The sequence below is a fragment of the Homo sapiens genome, chromosome 1, assembly GCF_000001405.40.
Source record: "Homo sapiens chromosome 1, GRCh38.p14 Primary Assembly".
NCBI lineage: Eukaryota > Metazoa > Chordata > Mammalia > Primates > Hominidae > Homo > Homo sapiens.
In genome coordinates, this window is record NC_000001.11 from 196,773,239 (window position 1) to 196,795,703 (window position 22,465).

Below are 22,465 nucleotides of genomic sequence, written 5' to 3' on the forward strand. Positions count from 1 at the left end.
CAGATAACAACTTGTGATTCACTTTTTAAAAGAAAAAAACAACTCTACATTTTTACTCTACCTTATCACACATTTTGAATTTTTGATGTTACAACTCACAACTTTTTAAATTGCATACTCTCTAACCAATTTTGTAGCTATTATTTTTAATTGTTTGCTATATTATAGCTTCATTTCTAAGTTCTAGGATATTCAGGGTGGTAATCTTGGCTCTCAGTGGTTGCTTTTAAGTTTCTGTAGGAGGGAGAGAAGCTGGAGAACTCCTACACTGCAGTTTTGCTGATGTTATTCTCTCCATGATTCTCTTATTTTAATGAACAGTATCTTAAACCACGGCAAGTATAGTAATGTAAAATAAAGAATAAACAGAAGAAGTCAATGAGAGAACATGTGTGGACTTGAGTTATATTCTTCCAACAAAACAGAAAATTTTATATATATATATATATATATACATATATATATATATATATATATATGAATGTATTGTACTAAAAATAAAAGATACCCCAAAACACAACTTTAAAAACATTTAAATATCAAGAATATGCTGAAACTTTTGTACTCAGTATGATCTATTGTGAGTTCTGAAAATCAGTATGCTACTCTAAACACATAAAAATACAGAGAGTGGAATGGGATCCAGACACACCGGTTTGTTTTCATACAACCTTATGTAATTAAGTTGGGTACTGGAAAGCAAAGGACAACAGAAAATTTTAGAGACATGGACCCTGAGAGTTACTCATTAATGATTCATCTGTATGTGGAAGAAACTCACCTATTTTCCAGTGTTTAATTTTAAAATTAGTGTTCTCATTTTAAGAAGAGTATGTGGGATAAGAGTATTTTGACCATTTGTGGGGGGGGGGAAAAAAACCTTGCCATGCCAAACAGCAGGATTTTCACGAGATGAGTGTGCCAGATGTTTATTTTCAACTTGAAATCAACCCAGTTCCTATCTTCATTTTCTTCTGCATTGCAGAAGATCAGCCTGAAACTACAGTTTCTGAAGTTCCTTTCTCCATAGCTTGCTTCTCCCTTAGATTCCCCCATGAGATGTACTTAAAGAAGACTTGGAAGAAGAGAAAGACAAGGGATTATCTGGTAGCAGCTGCTGGTAGCAGCTGAGATCACCAACAGTAGCTTTCTTTGATTCTGGACGTTTTGCTGAGAAACATCCACTGCAGCACCATAGATAATTAGTGAGGGCATCACTAAGACTCTTGAACATCAGAATTTTCTGGAAATAGCATTTTTGACCTTTGTTCCCTCAGTTCTTCCAATAGTTGCAGAAGCCTTTCGTTCCCTTTATGGAAACTCTCTTTACTCAAAAAATGAGAAATAAAGTAAATTAATGTTTTATGTTACTTTTGCATTCAGTCCATTACTGTGCCTAAATAAAATTGTACCAGTACATATCAGGCAATCAAATCCACAGATGATTGTGAAACCACTAACTGGAATTATTGAAGCATTTTGTAAAACTCTCTGAACTTTGATATTTACTAAATGACCTTAAAGCCCCTAGCTTCATGGTAGTGCACTTAAATTCAGAACCACACTTGGTAACTAATAATGAAAGATTTCAAACCCCAAACAGTGCAACTGAAACTTTTGTATTAGCATACTACTGAGAATATCTAACATGTTGTTACTAATCAATGTCATTCTGACCTTGTGGGTTTCCTGTGCTAATGGACAAGGTAAGTTAAAAGAGATCTAAACACTCAGCTTCCCTCTTAAATGTAACTTCATGTAATATCTAGCTTTGTATGTCTATAATTATTTTATGAATCAAAGAGGATTTATTCACTATGCTAGTAGAAGTGACATATTTTGTGAGAGTATAACAGAAATTAATTTTATAAAAAATTATCTCATTTTAACTTAAAGAAAAAATGAATAATGTTTTATTTGTTTTCTAAGTTCTACAGTGTAAAAGGCATTTAATATTGATTATGGAGATATGTGAATATACTCATGAAACTTTAAGTAGGAAACATGTCATTAGACAGATTCTAAGCTTAAAATGTTCAGAATTTTCCTATACGTAATACAAGGGGAACATTGGGAGTGACTGATGTTTTCATAATCTTACATATGGTGATTTTTATAGATTTATATATCAAAAAATCAAATAATACATTTTAAATTATGCAGTTTCTTATATTTCTATTATAGCTTAAGAAAGCTGCTAAAACTAATTAACATTAATATCAACTTACTACGTCAACAAAATTAGCAACATACATATATAATGAAAAAATAGAATATAAACTTACATTGGAAAGATAGTAAGTTTTGATTGGCATTTCTGAGTTCACTAGCAAATGTTCAATAAGTAAATATACAGAAAATACTTTTCATAGCGTTATGTCATTGTTCACTGATTTCTCCTAGATAGTCATATATTTTCTGTATTAATTATCTTTTTGAATGCAGGCCTTGCATATTAAAGAACTATATGGTAACATTAGCAGTGGAACCACATGGGTCAAAAATCATGGACAATCAAGGGTGTGTGTCCATTAATGAAGAATACAAATTTTGTAATTATCCAAAACTTCATATTTCAGCCAATGTAATGGAGGGTAATACTGGAAATCCCATTATCAATTTATGAGACTATCTTTTCCCTCAACCACTCTTCGCGAAGCTATGCCACTTTATTTGATTCTAGGGAAAGAGCTTTAAGTTTTATAGTATTATCTATCACATGATTTGCTAGTTTTATTTGTTGCGCAAAATCAAACTTGATCTGTGCCAAAATGGAAAAAAAAAGGAATTTCACCAGTTATTTCCTTTTTTAACTGAACTGTTACAGGTACATTTCTTCAAATAAAGACTAAATAGATTAAAGTAGAATGCAAAGAAGAAAATACTACTATTTTGAAATGACTGGAATTAGAGAAGCATATGCACTATATTTTCTTACTTACTTTCTTAAAAGCACTATAGAAAAGAATGATGACAAATTCTTTCTTATCTGATATTCCAGTGGAAAACTTGCCTCCTCCAATGAACTCTTTGTAAGAGTAAACTTGAGCAAAATGTCTTGTAAATTTGGGTTGCACCTATATTTCTCAAAGGAGAAAGTAACTCATTTAGTGGAATAACATCTTGGGTAGAGAGAAACATCTTTGTGAATTCAGTAGCATTGGCTCAACTGCATCCCGCCAAAATTCATTTGTTAAAGTCCAAATTCCCAATACCTGAGAATGTGACTGCATTTGGAGAAGGAGTGCTTAGCGATGTAATTAAGTTAAAGGTCAATGATTCAGGTGGGTCCTACTCCAATATAACTGGTGTCCATATAAGAAGAGAAAATAAGAACACACCGTATAGGGAAAGATCACGCAAGGCATAGAGAGAAAACAACCATTTACAAGGCAAAGGAGGAGGTCTCAGAAGCATCCAATCCTGTTGACAGCTATATCTCAAACTAGTAGCCTCCAGAACTGTGAGAAAATAAATTTCTATGAAATCAGTAGTACTTTGTTATGGTAGCTCTAGCAGATGAATACTATGATATTTACACAATGTATTAAAAGAATATTAATAATTAAAAATAACTTTTTACTTTTTACTCAAGGATATATATATATATATACCCACCAACACAGATTTTAGAGGGTATTCATCAGAATTGGGTAATTATATCTTGGGTGTATTGTCCTTGCTGATTTTTGTCTTGTTGAATACTTTGTGTTTACATATTATCTGTATTCATCTATATTCAGAATCTAGTAAATCGAATCAGCAAATATTTTTCATATGATTAATGAAGGATATACTTTGTGAGTTGCTTATGCTAAGAATTTTTTTTTAATGGTGGTTGATGTTTCAGTTCTGAACAATAAAATCAGCACACCAATTCTTTTGGAAGCCACGCTATTTGAAAGATAAACTTGACAGAAAATTTGTAATTGCAACCTATTATAATGTTCATTGAATTTGTATTGACCAATATTTCTTCCATCAACTCATAAGTTATTTACACTTATTTAAAAACAGGTTGTCAGGAAAATTATTTTTAATCATGAATATCCTTTCAGAATTGTATAAACTTTATATTCATCTACTAGAGTTGCCATAACAAAGTGTCAAGGGTGACAATTAGTAATGTAGAGTAGGGTTGCCTCTAAATTCCTTTTAAACTGATCATTTTCAGTACCCAATGCATTACAGTTAATTGCCATTGTACTTCTTTGGGACGCTCAAATTTATTTCAAGTTTAACTAAGAAGCTGGCTTCTGTGTATATTTCACGTGTCCCCATTACACTTTGGCATAACAAAAGGTCCCAGGATTTCCTTGACTTTTCCTACTACAGACCAAGTTCCAATAATTTCCCTATGAAATTCCAGTGCCTTTTAGTGGGAGAAACGATTTTCAGAAACAAACCTAAACTATGAAAAACTCACTACAGTTTCGAAATTATCACTGACTAAGAAAAGTAATTTTTGGTCGAGCCGGGGGGCTCCTGCCTTAATCCCAGCACTTTCGGGGGCCAAGGCGCGCGGATCACTTGAGGTCAGGAGTTGGAGACCAGCCCGGCCAACATGATGGAACGCTGTCTCTACTAACAATTCAAAAAATTAGCCGGAGTGGCGGCACACACCTGCAATCCCAGCTACTCAGGAGACTGAGGCAGGAGAATAACTTGAACCTGGGAGGCAGAGGTTGCAGTGAGCCGAGATGGTGCCACTGTACTCTAGCCTTGGTGACAGAACAAGACTGTTAAAAAAAAAAAAAAAAAAAAGAAAAGAAAGAAAAATTAAAATGATTTCCTTTAATATATGTCCCTTTCTTCTTCAGACTAAATAGCCTGCAATCATAAGAAAATGTAAGAGTATCTCAGGAGGTTACACAGTGCAGGGAGATTTAGATTTTCCAATATGGAGGAGACACTCAGCAGAAAACTGTGCATCCATGCTTGAGGGACTGGGTCAGAGAAGCTGTCATGCGTCACCCAACAAGCCTCTGGAGCCAGTTCTGTAACTAGCAAACACTTCCCACAAAGTAAAGATGTCACTTCTCTGAACTTAGTCTTCTCATCTGCACACTAAAGCTGTTGTGCCGCTAGCCTCCTTCCCGTTCTCTCTGATTTATGATGATTCAAACTTAAAGATTTTTCCTTAGTGATATTCTTAAGTTTTCCCAATAAATAGGCTGTAAATATTATTTTCTATCACTTGTTCCAGAATTATAGAAGAAACATAAATTATATGCTATTTAAATTATGGTATTGGTCAACATTCTATATGTCTACATACATATAGAATGTAAGAATATATATATATTTGAACATTCGTGTATGCACCTATTTTTTTATGTCAATAATATATCTCATCCGATACATGAATTCTAACTATGGTAAGAATGCATGCCATCGAATACAAACAAAATGCCACAAAACTCAAGAAAATGTTTTATTTCTGGAGATAATTGGTACATTTCTGATTTTTTTTAATGTTTAGAGTCATATTTCTTGTTTCTCTTTTCCAAAAAACAATTATTGGTAATGTGTGCACCCTGAACTGACAGCTTTAGCATAACTTGGTATAGTTCTAGATAAGCTCAGTTCAAATTAATGTTGATAAAACCTCCAGAATTGCTAAAGAGACCATACTACATTAGTAGAAGTAGAGAAAGTAGAATGAGGTTCTTCTTGTCCTGTTAGCTGATTTGGGATCCATTAAGGATTTTAAGTGTAGAAATAAAATGACCAGATGAAGGGTTATTAATTTATACCCAGGAAAACAGATTATACAGATGAGAGGTCAGGATCAGGAAACTAGTTATGGTTGCTGTAATTCCACAAGAAAATGTTTGAGAGAAGGTGATATCAAAATTTATCTCTAATATGATTTATTACAGTAAAAATTATTTATACTTTTTTGTTTGTTTTTTATTGCAAGTGAAACCTTGTGATTTTCCAGACATTAAACATGGAGGTCTATTTCATGAGAATATGCGTAGACCATACTTTCCAGTAGCTGTAGGAAAATATTACTCCTATTACTGTGATGAACATTTTGAGACTCCTTCAGGAAGTTACTGGGATTACATTCATTGCACACAAAATGGGTGGTCACCAGCAGTACCATGTCTCAGTAAGTAATCCTCTGAACTGCTACACATGTATAAAACTTTAAAAGATTAAAGAGAGGAGAGCACATAATTGATTACTCTTGTCTTATGTAACAGAAATAGGGCCAAGAAATGAGTTGTTCAAGCAAAATGACCAAAATAGATCTTTTCTATTATGAGGAGTTCTTGAAAATCATATGAAAAATAAATATAGAGACTTTATGAGAATATCTATATAGTTTATACATATTTTAATTATGAAAACTAAAGAGAAGTAATATTAAATATTGACATTTCCTCTTGTACAACCTTTGTTAGTAATTTTGGTTCATACTAAGTTGTACATTATTTTTGGATGTTTATGCGATCTTATTTAAATATGGTAACAATAATTTTAATATACTTTTTGTGCAAATTTATGTTTCTCATTTACTTTATTTATTTATCATTGCTATGTCCTTAGGAAAATGTTATTTTCCTTATTTGGAAAATGGATATAATCAAAATTATGGAAGAAAGTTTGTACAGGGTAACTCTACAGAAGTTGCCTGCCATCCTGGCTACGGTCTTCCAAAAGCGCAGACCACAGTTACATGTACGGAGAAAGGCTGGTCTCCTACTCCCAGATGCATCCGTGTCAGTAAGTACACCGCTCTGAGATCCCAGCATGTTCATGTCTTTCTAAGTAACACGGACGACAGTCTCAGACTTGTCTATATTAACTGTGGCAAAATGTTTTTGTCAACTTGTTTTGCCAACGGACCTATTTAGTTTTACTTTTTTAATTGTGTGAATATACAAATTTCTTGATAAGTACATAGCAAAATAAATGCTCCTATTAATGGGCATTAGTCAAGAATACAGTAAAAGAATTAGAACACAATACTTGTTGGCTAAATAAAGTCATATTGAAGCGGCATTAATGTCTCGGGTAAATACCCGAGGTTCGTCATCTTGCACCAAGAAGATTAAGTACAAATGGGTATTCTGGGATCTTGTACATATTCTACTCTAGAAGGTTTCCTACAGTATTTATTCAAATATACATTTATATAAACAGTTCCTTCTTTTTTCACATGTTGCTAATGATTGGTGATGTCACATTTTAATATTTACAAGTTGAGTGGCTATAAAATGGTATAGCATTGTAATGTAAATTTGCATTTCTTTTACTACCAGCTGGATTTAGAATACATGTTCACAGTTTAATTGGTATTTAATGATTCTAAAATTTGGAAATGCAGTTTGATTTCTTTTATTTATCTTTTTGGGAGTTTTGGTTGTTATTAGTTGGAATCATCTTAATAATTCTGAAGGTAAAATCTCTTTTAATTATATGTAATGCAAATGCATTCTCTTTGTGGCTAGTATTGTTCTTTCCTTTTTTCTGCATTATGAACAAGTTGCTCATTTTACTAAATAATTGTCAATCTTTTTTCATGATGAATGTTTTTTGGTTCTTTTTTTATATTTTATTATTATTATATTTTAAGTTTTAGGGTACATGTGCACAATGTGCAGGTTAGTTACATATGTATACATGTGCCATGCTGGTGTGCTGCACCCATTAACTCATCATTTAGCATTAGGTATATCTCCTAATACTATCCCTCCCCCCTCCCCCCACCCCACAACAGTCCCCAGAGTGTGATGTTCCCCTTCCTGTGTCCATGTGTTCTCGTTGTTCAGTTCCCACCTATGAGTGAGAACACGTGGTGTTTGGTGTTTTGTCCTTGTGATAGTTTACTGAGAATGGTGATTTCCAGTTTCATCCATGTCCCTACAAAGAACATGAACTCATCATTTTTTATGGCTGCATAGAATTCCATGGTGTATATGTGCCACATTTTCTTAATCCAGTCTATCATTGTTGGACATTTGGGTTGGTTCCAAGTCTTTGCTATTGTGAATAATGCCGCAATAAGCATACGTGTGCATGTGTCTTTATAGCAGCATGATTTATAGTCCTTTGGGTATATACCCATTAATGGGATGGCTGGGTCAAATGGTATTTCTAGTTCTAGATCCCTGAGGAATCACCACACTGTCTTCCACAATGGTTGAACTAGTTTACAGTCCCACCAATGGTGTAAAAGTGTTCCTATTTCTTCACATCCTCTCCAGCACCTGTTGTTTCCTGACTTTTTAATGATTGCCATTCTAACTGGTGTGAGATGGTATCTCATTGTGGTTTTGATTTGCATTTCTCTGATGGCCAGTGATGGTGAGCATTTTTTCATGTGTTTTTTGGCTGCGTAAATGTCTTCTTTTGAGAAGCATCTGTTCATGTCCTTTGCCCACTTTTTGATGGGGTTGTTTGTTTTTTTCTTGTAAATTTGTTTGAGTTCATTGTAGATTCTGGATATTAGCCCTTTGTCAGATGAGTAGGTTGCAAAAATTTTCTCCCATTTTGTAGGTTGCCTGTTCACTCTGATGGTAGTTTCTTTTGCTGTGCGGAAGCTCTTTAGTTTAATTAGATCCCATTTGTCAATTTTGGCTTTTGTTGCCATTGCTTTTGGTGTTTTAGACATGAAGTCCTTGCCCATGCCTATGTCCTGAATGGTAATGCCTAGGTTTTCTTTTAGGGTTTTTATGGTGTTAGGTCTATCATTTAAGTCTTTAATCCATCTTGAATTAATTTTTGTATAAGGTGTAAGGAAGGGATCCAGTTTCAGCTTTCTACATATGGCTAGCCTGTTTTCCCAGCAACATTTATTAAATAGGGAATCCTTTCCCCATTACTTGTTTTTCTCAGGTTTGTCAAAGATCAGATAGTTGTAGATATGCAGCGTTATTTCTGAGGGCTCTGTTCTGTTCCATTGATCTATATCTCTGTTTTGGTAGCAGTACCATGCTGTTTTGGTTACTGTAGCCTTGTAGTATAGTTTGAAGTCACGTAGTGTGATGCCTCCAGCTTTGTTCTTTTGGCTTAGGATTGACTTGGTGATGCGGGCTCTTTTTTGGTTCCATATGAACTTTAAAGTACTTTTTTCCACTTTGGTGAAGAAAGTCATTGGTAGCTTGATGGGGATGGCATTGAATCTATAAATTACCTTGGGCAGTATGGCCATTTTCATGATATTGATTCCTCCTACCCATGAGCATGGAATGTTCTTCCATTTGTTTGTATCCTCTTTTATTTCCTTGAGCAGTGGTTTGTGGTTCTCCTTGAAGAGGTCCTTCGCGTCCCTTGTAAGTTGGATTCCTAGGTATTTTATTCTCTTTGAAGCAATTGTGAATGGGAGTTCACTCATGATTTGGCTCTCTGTTTGTCTGTTATTGGTGTATAAGAATGCTTGTGATTTTTGTACATTGATTTTGTATCCTGAGACTTTGCTGAAGTTGCTAATCAGCTTTAGGAGATTTTGGGCTGAGACAATGGGGTTTTCTAGATATACAATCATGTCACCTGCAAACAAGGACAATTTGACTTCCTCTTTTCCTAATTGAATACCCTTTATTTCTTTCTCCTGAAGGAGATCCCTGGCCAGAACTTCCAACACTATGTTGAATAGGAGTGGTGAGAGAGGGCATCCCTGTCTTGTGCTGATTTTCAAAGGAATGCTTCCAGTTTTTGCCCATTCAGTATGATATTGGCTGTGGGTTTGTCATAGATAGTTCTTGTTATTTTGAGATATGTCCCATCAATATCTAATTTATTGAGAGTTTTTAGCATGAAGCGTTGTTGAATTTTGTCAAAGGCCTTTTCTGCATCTATTGAGATAATCATGTGGTTTTTGTCTTTGGTTCTGTCTATATGCTGGATTACATTTATTGATTTGCGTATATTGAACTAGCCTTGCATCCCCGGGATGAAGACCACTTGATCATGGTGGATAAGCTTTTTGATGTGCTGTTGGATTCGGTTTGCCAGTATTTTATTGAGGATTTTTGTATCAATATTAATCAAGGATATTGGTCTAAAATTATCTTTTTTGGTTGTGTCTCTGCCTGGCTTTGGTATCAGGATGATGCTGGCCTCATAAAATGAGTTAGGGAGGATTCCCTCTTTTTCTATTGATTGGAATAGTTTCAGAAGGAATGGTACCAGTTGCTCCTTGTACCTCTGGTAGAATTCGGCTGTGAATCCATCTGGTCCTGGACTCTTTTTGGTTGGTAAGCTATTGATTATTGCCACAATTTCAGAGCCTGTTATTGGTCTATTCAGAGATTCAACTTCTTCCTGGTTTAGTCTTGGGAGAGTGTATGTGTCAAGGAATTTATCCATTTCTTCTAGATTTTCTAGTTTATTTGCGCAGAGGTGTTTGTAGTATTCTCTGATGGTAGTTTGTATTTCTGTGGGATTGGTGGTGATATCCCCTTTATCATTTTTTATTGTGTCTATTTGATTCATCTCTCTTTTTTTCTTTATTACTCTTGCTAGCAGTCTATCGATTTTGTTGATCCTTTCAAAAAACCAGCTCCTGGATTCATTAATTTTTTGACAGGCTTTTTGTGCCTCTATTTCCTTCAGTTCTCCTCTGATTTTAGTTATTTCTTGCCTTCTGCTAGCTTTGAATGTGTTTGCTCTTGCTTTTCTAGTTCTTTTAATTGTGATGTTAGGGTGTCAATTTTGGATCTTTCCTGCTTTCTCTTGTGGGCATTTAGTGCTATAAATTTCCCTCTACACACTGCTTTGAATGTGTCCCATAGATTCTGGTATGTTGTGTCTTTGTTCTCGTTGGTTTCAAAGAACATCTTTATTTCTGCCTTCATTTCTTTATGTACCCAGTAGTCATTCAGGAGCAGTTTGTTCAGTTTCCATGTAGTTGAGCAGTTTTGAGTGAGTTTCTTAATCCTGAGTTCTAGTTTGATTGCACTGTGGTCTGAGAGACAGTTTGTTATAATTTCTGTTCTTTTACATTTGCTGAGGAGAGCTTTACTTCCAACTATGTGGTCAATTTTGGAATTGGTGTGGTGTGGTGCTGAAAAAAATGTATATTCTGTCGATTTGGGGTGGAGAGTTCTGTAAATGTCTATTAGGTCCGCTTGGTGCAGAGCTGAGTTCAATTCCTGGGTATCCTTGTTGACTTTCCATCTCGTTGATCTGTCTAATGTTGACAGTGGTGTGTTAAAGTCTCCCATTATTATTGTGTGGGAGTCTAAGTCTCTTTGTAGGTCACTCCAGACTTGCTTTATGAATCTGGGTGCTCCTGTATTGGGTGCATATATATCTAGGATAGTTAGCTCTTCTTGTTGAATTGATCCCTTTACCATTATGTAATGGCCTTCTTTGTCTCTTTTGATCTTTGTTGGTTTAAAGTTTGTTTCATCAGAGACTAGGATTGCAACCCCTGCCTTTTTTTGTTTTCCATTTGCTTGGTAGATCTTCCTCCATCCTTTTATTTTGAGCCTATGTGTGTCTCTGCACATGAGATGGGTTTCCTGAATACAGCACACTGATGGGTCTTGACTCTTTATCCAATTTGCCAGTCTGTGTCTTTTAATTGGAGCATTTAGTCCATTTACATTTAAAGTTAATATTGTTAAATGTGAATTTGATCCTGTCATTATGATGTTAGCTGGTTATTTTGCTTGTTAGTTGATGCAGTTTCTTCCTAGTCTCGATGGTCTTTACATTTTGGCATGATTTTGCAGTGGCTGGTACCAGTTGTTCCTTTCCATGTTTAGTGCTTCCTTCAGGAGCTCTTTTAGGGCAGGCCTGGTGGTGACAAAATCTCTCAGCATTTGCTTATCTGTAAAGGATTTTATTTCTCCTTCACTTATGAAGCTTAGTTTGGCTGGATATGAAATTCTGGGTTGAAAATTCTTCTCTTTAAGAATGTTGAATATTGGCCCCCACTCTCTTCTGGCTTGTAGAGTTTCTGCTGAGAGATCTGCTATTAGTCTGATGGGCTTCCCTTTGTGGGTAACCCGACCTTTCTCTCTGGCTGCCCTTAACATTTTTTCCTTCATTTCAACTTTGGTGAATCTGACAATTATGTGTCTTGGAGTTGCTCTTCTCTAGGAGTATCTTTGTGGCGTTCTCTGTATTTCCTGAATCTGAATGTTGGCCTGCCTTGCTAGATTGGGGAAGTTCTCCTGGATAATATCCTGCAGAGTGTTTTCCAACTTGGTTCCATTCTCCCCGTCACTTTCAGGTACACCAATCAGATGTAGATTTGGTCTTTTCACATAGTCCCATATTTCTTGGAGGTTTTGTTCATTTCTTTTTGGTCTTTTTTCTCTAAACTTCCCTTCTCGCTTCATTTCATTCATTTCATCTTCCATCACTGATACCCTTTCTTCCAGATGATCACATCGGCTCCTGAGGCTTCTGTATTCTTCACGTAGTTCTCGAGCCTTGGCTTTCAGCTCCACCAGCTCCTTTAAGCACTTCTCTGTATTGGTTATTCTACTTATACATTTGTCTAAATTTTTTTCAAATTTTTAACTTCTTTGCCTTTGGTTTGAATTTCCTCCTGTAGCTTGGAGTAGTTTGATTGTCTGAAGCCTTCTTTTCTCAACTCGTCAAAGTCATTCTCCGTCCAGCTTTGTTCCGTTGCTGGTGAGGAACTTTGTTCCTTTGGAGGAGGAGAGGTGCTCTGCTTTTAGAGTTTCCAGTTTTTCTGCTCTGTTTTTTCCCCATCTTTGTGGTTTTATCTACTTTTGGTCTTTGATGATGGTGATGTACAGATGGGTTTTTGGTGTGGATGTCCTTTCTGTTTGTTAGTTTTCCTTCTAACAGACAGGACCCTCAGCTGCAGGTCTGTTGGAGTTTGCTAGAGGTCCACTCTAGACCCTGTTTGCCTGGGTATCTGCAGCAGTGGCTGCAGAACAGCGGATTTTCATGAACCGCGAATGCTGCTGTATGATGGTTCCTCTGGAAGTTTTGTCTCAGAGGAGTACCCGGCCGTGTGAGGTGTCAGTCTGCCCCTACTGGGTGGTGCCTCCCAGTTAGGCTGCTCGGGGGTTGGGGTCAGCGACCAACTTGAGGAGGCAGTCTGCCCGTTCTCAGATCTCCAGCTGCGTGCTGGGAGAACCACTGCTCTCTTCAAAGCTGTCAGACAGGGACATTTAAGTCTGCAGAGGTTACTGCTGTCTTTTTGTTTGTCTGTGCCCTGCCCCCAGAGGTGGAGCCTACAGAGGCAGGCAGGCCTCCTTGAGCTGTGGTGGGCTCCACCCAGTTCGAGCTTCCTGGCTGCTTTGTTTACCTAAGCAAGCCTGGGCAATGGCAGGCCCCCCTCCCCCAGCCTCGCTGCCGCCTTGCAGTTTGATCTCAGACTGCTATGCTAGCAATCAGAGAGACTCCGTGGGCATAGGACCCTCTGAGCCAGGTGAGCGATATAATCTCCTGGTGTGCCGTTTTTTAAGCCCGTGGGAAAAGCGCAGTATTAGGGTGGGAGTGACCCGATTTTCCAGGTGCCGTGTGTCACCCCTTTCTTTGACTAGGAAAGGGAACTCCCTGACCCCTTGTGCCTCCCAAGTGAGGCAATGCCTTCCCCTGCTTTGGCTCACGCACGGTGCGCTGCACCCATTGTCCTGCACCCACTGTCTGGCACTCCCTAGTGAGATGAACCCAGAACCTCAGATGGAAATGCAGAAATCACCCGTCTTCTGCGTCGCTCACGCTGGGAGCTGTAGACCAGAGCTGTTCCGATTTGGCCATCTTGGCTGCCCTCTATGATATCTATTTTTTAGTTAGTGCTCTGTTGCTTTAAATTAAGGCTCATCTTCAGTTACAGCTGACTTTTACTTTTTAAGTAAAGGGGACTCTGAAAATTGTTTGTGTGTATTGTTTGCAATTTACAAAACATTCCATTATAGAAACCGCATAATAATTATGGAATAATTGAGACGAAAGATAATGGGAATCTTCCTACACCATTATAGGAGCAACTGTCCTCAACAATAGCCTAAGCCCCTGAAAGAAAAGTCCCTTTTTCTCCTGCCATAAGCACCAACTCTATCATTAATCCACCTAATAAATATTGTTGTGTGTCAAGCACTTTGTAGGTATTGAAAATAAAGCTGTTTACAATAGAAACTGAACATTGTAGTTTAGAGGCTGGAGGAGATTAATAGGAAAGTAGGCAAGAATAGATCAGAAAACTCATGATTATGACAAATGCTATATTATAAATATGCATCATCTTTAACATGATTTCTTTTTCTTTCAGATAGTAAAATTGGTCCATTTACATTTGTTTTTGAATTACTAATTAGAAAAGAACATATACATTACTAATATCTTAAAACATATGCGTTACTAAAATAATTACTACCTTGTACATATACCCATTAGTAATGTATAGAACACATACATTACTAATATATAAAGAACAAATACATTGCTAATATATTAGAACTTATTTTTGCTATCTTGCTTGCTTTCTTTTTTCTGCTTACATTTCCACATGCCTCTCAAACACCACGTCTATATGGGTTTAAGCACCCACTTAAGATGACAACCATTTTAAATTCTTGGAGACAAAGGATTTACAAAATTACTTTCTTGCCTATGGTAGCAGGGTGTACCGTATCTTTGCCTGGGAAATGGCATTTGACTTAATGAGGTTTAAGACCCCTTAATAGTACCAAAAATACTCAGGTTGTTGCAAAGTAGCCAGAAAGTCTTCCAAAATTTCATTAGGGACTGGAGAGTCTCCTAGATCTGCACTCCTCAAGGACTGCCAGAGCTCTGTTGACAGTCTCAAGGATTCTTTGCTTTCATTCTGCCCTTCCCTGTGTTCAACATTTCCTTCAGAAATTCGTGGTTTCCTTTAAGAACACGGATGTCTAGGAAACTTCCAGTTTTGCTGTTTTCAATTCATTAACAAATGTTTCATTGTTTCGCCATATTGCCATGTTTTTACTTGTTCCCTCCTATAAAAGAACTATTCAACTAATATTTACTTTTTTCTTGACTTTTTCTATTTTAGGAACATGCTCAAAATCAGATATAGAAATTGAAAATGGATTCATTTCCGAATCTTCCTCTATTTATATTTTAAATAAAGAAATACAATATAAATGTAAACCAGGATATGCAACAGCAGATGGAAATTCTTCAGGATCAATTACATGTTTGCAAAATGGATGGTCAGCACAACCAATTTGCATTAGTAAGTGATTTACATATTCCCATTCAGTTTCTGTCAACTTCGTTCCTCTCTTTGAGATGATAGTGTTTTACTTAAAAATATAGAAAACAATTTTAGGAGTAAAGAGATACAAATACTTCTAAAACCATTCAACATTCTGTGCCAAATTAAGTCTTTTGCATGTTTAGAGTAATGGCTACTTGGGAAGATGATCATTTCATCTCTTACAACTCAATCTGCCTTTACATAAAAGCAATCTTATCATGTACAGACTAGTTAGGGAGCTGCATGAGAGTATCAGCAAAATATGTTAGTTGCCAATAAAAACTTTGTTGTCTTCCCTTTCTTTGTATTTCAAAATTATCAGCTGCTTGTATTGCATTCCGTGCTCACGCTCAGAAAAGTTGTACATGTCGGGGGAGAAATGAGTGCTTAATTCTGAATTTCTGCTAGCGTCAGGAGAATCAGACCTTAATAATTTGTATCAATGATGCTACTGAGGATATCCAATCAAAAAATTATCTCTACCCTATTGTTTACTACAGAGAAAACAAGTAAAGGAAAAGGGTAAGTGGGTGGGCTGAATGTTTACAAACCTCATACTTGCCAATGGATTCTTTACATGTAAAGTTCTCTGAACGTGCTCGACCTTTACTTAGTATGATAAAGAGAATGCATAATGAACAAAGGAAATCTTTCAGTGGCAAAAGTTGATTTTTTTTCTTTCCTCTTTATATATTCACAAAGAGTTTTAAAGATAAATTGCTGAATGTATTTTTAACCCAAATACTGTTGTATAATTTACATACTCCCAAATCCACTTCATTTTCAAGGGTACAATTCAACTATTTTTAGTCATGAGATAATATGGAACCTTGATACATAATACAACATGGAAGACTCTCAAAAATATTAAGCTAAGAGAGAAAAAAGATACACTTACAAAGTGATTATCTCAATGTTATCATGAGTTTTGGGGGTTATATGAATTCCTACATTTCTAGAATACTGTTTTCAATTTCTATACTTATCAAGGGCTCTGTGTAAAGAAAAAGGTGTATACTTCAATTTTACTCAGCTTTGATAAATGATCTACTTTAAAACTTGTGAAATAAAAGACAGGATGCTTCATAAATTTTATAGAACTTATATCCAATTAATATAATTTTTATCTAATATATACACCCTTACTGTTAGTAAATCGTTACATAACTACATAAATGGTTACATTAACTTTTAAATTCACAAATTTAAAAGCGGTTTAAGCTCCGTGACACATTGGACTACGAATGCTACGATGGATATGAAATCAGTTATGGAAACACCACAGGTTCCATAGTGTGTGGTGAAGATGGGTAGTCCCATTTCCCAACATGTTATAGTAAGTATTTTATTCAAGTATTTTTTATTAGAATTAAATAAAATAATAAATAGACACCTACATATGTATATGTACACATATGTGTGTACATATATGTACATATATATGTAGTCCTCCTATGAGTGTGAATTATCTTGAGACTTAAAAAGAAAAAACAACGTTGAAAATGCAGATGTCTTCCTAAGAAATCAAATAAGATACAGTTAAGAGTATATAAAAAGCTTTATTTAGAAAGTTTCCAATAAGACTATTGATTTTTCCCCACATATAAAGTATTTTTTTTCAGATTCTTCAGAAAAGTGTGGGCCTCCTCCACCTATTAGCAATGGTGATACCACCTCCTTTCTACTAAAAGTGTATGTGCCACAGTCAAGAGTCGAGTACCAATGCCAGCCCTACTATGAACTTCAGGGTTCTAATTATGTAACATGTAGTAATGGAGAGTGGTCGGAACCACCAAGATGCATACGTAAGTTCTTAAAATTCTAGATCCTGAGAAAATCAGAGTAATAAGTTTGATATTTGCTTTTTTATACTAGAATTTTTATGGGTTATTACCCTAGAACTGTGTTCACAAACAGCTATTCTGCTGAATGTTTGCCTTTCAGATCTTAATATATAAGTGTATAAGCTTGGAAAATTCCATGTAAACAATGACCAAGTTTCTTTTTTAAAACAGGAATGTCGGCCTGGGGTGGTGGCTCACGCCTGTAGTCCCAGCACTTTGGAAGGCCGAGGCAGGCAGACCATGAGGTCAGGAGTTCGAGATCAGCCTGACCAACATGGTGAACCCCGTATCTACAAAAAATACAAAAATTAGCCAGGCATGCTGGCATATGCCTGTAATCCCAGCTACTCAGGAGGGTGAGGCAGGAGAATCATTTGAACCCGGGAGGCAGAGGTTGCAGTGAGTGGAGATTGCACCATTGCCCTCCAGCCTGGGCGACAGAGGGAGACCCCATCTCCAAAAATAAAAAAATAATAAATAAATAAATAAATAAATAAATAAATAAATAAATAAATAAAACAGAAGAAGAAGAAAAGAAAAAGAGAAAAAGAAAAAACCAAGAATGTTCAGAGTCTTCAATTTGTTAATGGATACAATGAGTCTTCAAGAATGACAACCATTTATTGCGCACATATGAAATATGGCATCTCAGCTTAACACCAGTAATCATTTTCACATTATTAACACTTAGGTAAAGAGTTTTCAAACAGTTCTGAAAACATTGTTTCAAAAAACCACAAACTATTAAACCCTACTTGAACACATGAAATTTTTCCTGATAGAACACATAGCTGGTTAACACTGAGAAGTTCTTTCTCTGATTATTATTCTTACTTATATTTTATCAGTATTCCTAGCAAGCAACAAAGAAATTAACGAAACTTCAGCCATTTCCATAACCCATTGCTTTTCCATTTTTACCTTATTCTCCTCTTCCCTTATACCAGAATCAAAATGAATACACTAAAAACCCCTCAAGCCAGTAATATAGGTATACTTCCAGAATTTTGTCCCCCAAGTACTATGAACTTGAAGCAACACAACTCAAAAAATATAAGCCACAATGATTATGGCAACAACAAGAAAACCTAAAAGAAAATTTGCCACAAGTTTCTACTAGCCTATGAGGTAGAGCCCTGGGACACCCATCAGTCCTTGAATGTCAGATAACCTATTCCTATCACAGCTCTTAAACTGTAAGTTCATGAGTTTTTCAAGTGCTCAAGTTCCTAAGTACAGGATGATACAAGCAGTTGTTTTCTGTGATGTGACTCATTTCCTTTATTTTGATGCTATGCTACCTTTTACCTTTCATATTGACTGATGACGCTGATATTTTGGCTGATCTTACAATGGGCTAAACCTTAATTATTGTCCCCTACTTAAGTATCCACTTCTGTAGATGATCATGTCCAAGTTTGAGCTCCAAACTATGCAAGTGGTAAGACTGAAGAAGAAATTAGTATCCTCAAATCAAAATAGTTTACAAGTATCTTCAAACTTGATTTCATAGAAAAGTGTTAGGTTTCAGAGATAAATTCTGAGTCTTAAATTTGATTGACTGAGGAGATGGACACTCCTAAGATGGGTTTCACAGCAAAAGCATTACCTCTTCTCACAATCAAGAACAGGAAAGGATTATAATTATCTGAAGATATAAGATCAGTTCTATGATACAAGCAAGACTTTCAGTCTTCAAAACTAAAGAAGCAAAGAGCATTCAAGCACAGAATTCTAGGGAAAAAGGCAACCTTATGGAAAAGATTACATATACATATGGCATATTAAAGCAATGAGGAAAATTTTCCCAGGCAGCAGGAAACTTTAGAAAGTTTTGGAAAATATGTTTGGAGAAGTATTTAGAGTTCAAACAATATTTATTTTTGAATTGTAAACAGCCCCTGAATGTATTGAAGAGCTCTTAAAATTTTTTGGATTTCAAAAGTGATATGTACTATGTTAAGAAATTTATTTAAGTAAGTACTTGAAAGATGTATTAAAATATGATTGGGGAAATTTCTAAAGAAATGCTAATGCTAATAAGGGCTAAACTAGAATGCAGAATACTTGAGTCAAAAGAAGAGATAGGTGAGTGAATGATATCATCAAAAGTGAAAAGCTTGCTATGTAAGAACTGACATTTTTATCATGTAAGTACTAGGCTTAATACCTGGGGTATGGGTTGATAGGTACAGCAAACCACCATGGCACACATTTACCTATGGAACAAACCTGCACATCCTGCACATGTACCCTGGAACTTAAAAAAAAAATTATAAATTTTTTTACAAAAGAATTTTATAAAAGAAAATCCATATGTGGAAGTAACATTATCTTACTGATTTTACAGATGAAGGCATAGTGAGACAGAGTAATTTGTCCATAATCATGTAGGGATTCATATTAACTCTGTGTGCTTATCCTTGCCTCTCTTTAAAATAGAAAATGAAGATGACAGGGATAGATGATGTTGATAGAGAGAGAGATAACTGATAGATATTGAGGTATATTTATGTATGTATGTATGTATGTATATATAGTTTCATTTTAACAGATGACTATTAGAAAGATTATACCTTTCTACAGTTCTGTTTCTACATTGTGGGCATAAGAGAAAAATATAAACATAGAATTAAATTAGCAAAATGTGAGTACATTTGGAGTGCTTGTAGTCACGGCTTGTCGAATGGGGGAAAGGAGGATAAGTAACCATGACTCCAATGGAACATGTTAGCATAATCCTTTTTGATATGAAGTCACTAGGGTGGACACAACATATTTTAGGAAAGAAGAGTTCAGGCTCTAGAGAAAGACTGCCAGGGTTCACGTTTATCACCTCACCTGATGATCTCTGCTGTGATGTTGGGGAAGTGCAACTGAACTTATTATATTTTTGAAATGCTAACGTCAGTATGTAGCACAAGTTAATAACTATTAACTATTTGGATTATTTTATAATTTTATTTTATCCTAAACTACTCATTAGGATGCATTTTATTTGCTCATGAAAGAGAAAATTATGATTGTTAATTGTTTTTTTCTGCTTTCAGATCCATGTATAATAACTGAAGAAAACATGAATAAAAATAACATAAAGTTAAAAGGAAGAAGTGACAGAAAATATTATGCAAAAACAGGGGATACCATTGAATTTATGTGTAAATTGGGATATAATGCAAATACATCAATTCTATCATTTCAAGCAGTGTGTCGGGAAGGGATAGTGGAATACCCCAGATGCGAATAAGGCAGCATTGTTACCCTAAATGTATGTCCAACTTCCACTTTTCCACTTCTCACTCTTATGGTCTCAAAGCTTGCAAAGATAGCTTCTGATATTGTTGTAATTTCTACTTTATTTCAAAGAAAATTAATATAATAGTTTCAATTTGCAACTTAATATATTCTCAAAAATATATTAAAACAAACTAAATTATTGCTTATGCTTGTACTAAAATAATAAAAACTACTCTTATATTGGACTTCTTATCAATGAATTAGTAAGTATAGAGACAGACAGCTGAATGGCTTTCTGCATATTGTATAGTATACCTAGACATAGAAACAAAATGACTTTAGATTTTATTTGGGGAAGTAATAATACCATAAAATTAGATATTAAAATTGTAAGTGAAGATAAACACACTATAGTATTCCCTTATTGTAGCCATGGTCCTCTAGATGCAGTTAACCAAATAGGGTCATTTTTATTAAAAGTAGTGTTTCCTGGCAAACACTGACATTACATCATTATCATGATTTAAAGGAAATAGTACTAGAGAAGGTGAATTATTATCATTTTCCTGTGAAAAAAGAAAAGAGGTTTTGCTAACCCTTTCAGAGCATTGGGAACACAGCCAGAAGTGCATTAAATGTATATATTAACTTGGGCAATGTTGACACTTTAGGATGCTGAAGCCAGGTGCAGTGGCACACGCCTGTAATCCTAGCACTTTGAGAGGCCAAGCTGGCAATCATCAGAGGTCAAAAGTTCAAGACCAGCCTGTTCAACACGGTGAAACCCTGTCTCTACTAAAAATAGAAAAACTAGCTCGGCATGATGGCGTGCACCTGTAGTCCCAGCTACTCAGGAGGCTGAGGTGGGAGAATCACTTTAACCAGTGGGGCAGAGGTTGAACTGAGCCAAGATAGTGCCACTGCACTCCAGCCTGGGCAATAGAGTGAGACTCTGTCTTAAAAATAAATAAATAGGATGCTGAAAATTCCTATTTAAGGAAATAATTCTTTTTCTGATTTATTTAAGGCTACATTTGTATTTTCTTAATACAAATATTTTGAAAGTTTCTTCATATATGGTTTTTTGCATTTCTTATTAAGTTTTGCTTCAGATTTTTTTTTGTCTTTTCTCCTGTTAATTGCCTTCACTCTCTTTCTGTTCTGTACTTTTCTTTGTATATAAGGATTTTTTGAAAAGATTGTATATCCCTGTTAACAAATTGAAATCTCTATTCACTTTAATAGATTTTTACCCCCAGTTAGCATATGGTTAGTGAGAAGTTGCAGGGTAAGAAGAAAACAATGTTCCCTTTCCCAACACTTTTCCTGATTATAGAGAAAAAAGCATGAACTTGTATAATGATCTAGTCCTGTACAGAATGAGAAATATTAATTGCTAGACTGAGAATGTTTTGGTGGCTAAAGCTAGGAATAACTTTTTAAGACTGAAGAATGATATAAGCTATCAAATCTAACTCAGTTTTCAAATAACAGGTTTGCAGAGACTGGAGAATAAAAAGTAAAAAATTGTTTTATTAATTCCAGTGACTAATTCTACTTCATCAACATACATCATAAATAAAATTTCAAAAATAATTGCTGATATGGTTTGGCTGTGTCCCACCCAATTTTCACCTTGAATTATATAATCACCATGCATCAAAGGTAGGGCCAGGTGGAGATAATGGAATCATGGGAGCAGTTTCCCCATACCCCACTCATGGTAGTAAATACATCTCATGAGATCTAATGGTTTTATAAATGAAAGTTCCCCTGGACAAGTTCTCTTGCCTGCCACCATGTAAGATGTACCTTTGCTACTCATTCACCTTCTGTCATGATGGTGAGGCCTTCCCAGCAATGTGGAACTGTGAGTCCATTAAACCTCTTTCCTTTATAAATTACCTAGTCTCAAGTATGTTTTTATTAGCAGTGTGAGAATCAACTAATACAGTAAATTGGTATTACACAGTAGAGTGGGGTGCTGCTGTAAAGATAACCAAAAATGTAGAGTGACTTTGGAACTGGGTAACAGACAGAGGTTGGAACAGTTTGGAGGACTCAGAAGAAGGCAGGAAGATGTGGGGAAGTTTGGAACTTCTTAGAGAGACTTGTTAAATGGCTTTGACCAAAATGCTGATAGTGATTTGGAAAATGCAATCTAGGCTGAGGTGGTCTCAGCTAGAGATGAGAAACTTGT

General features: G+C 35.6%; 1 protein-coding gene across 2 annotated transcripts; it reads left to right on the plus strand.

Moving 5' to 3' along the window:
• CFHR3 (complement factor H related 3) lies at positions 1,602–22,169 on the plus strand. 2 transcript variants are annotated; one of them, NM_021023.6, is made up of 6 exons: positions 1,602–1,706; positions 5,924–6,118; positions 6,559–6,735; positions 14,978–15,160; positions 16,807–16,989; positions 20,079–22,169. In NM_021023.6, the coding sequence occupies exons 1-6, from the start codon at positions 1,649–1,651 to the stop codon at positions 20,273–20,275; spliced, it is 993 nt and encodes a 330-aa protein (NP_066303.2). In that variant the 5' UTR covers positions 1,602–1,648; the 3' UTR covers positions 20,276–22,169. The 2 variants fall into 2 exon arrangements, with proteins under 2 accessions (NP_066303.2, NP_001160096.1); NM_001166624.2 differs by lacking the exon at positions 14,978–15,160.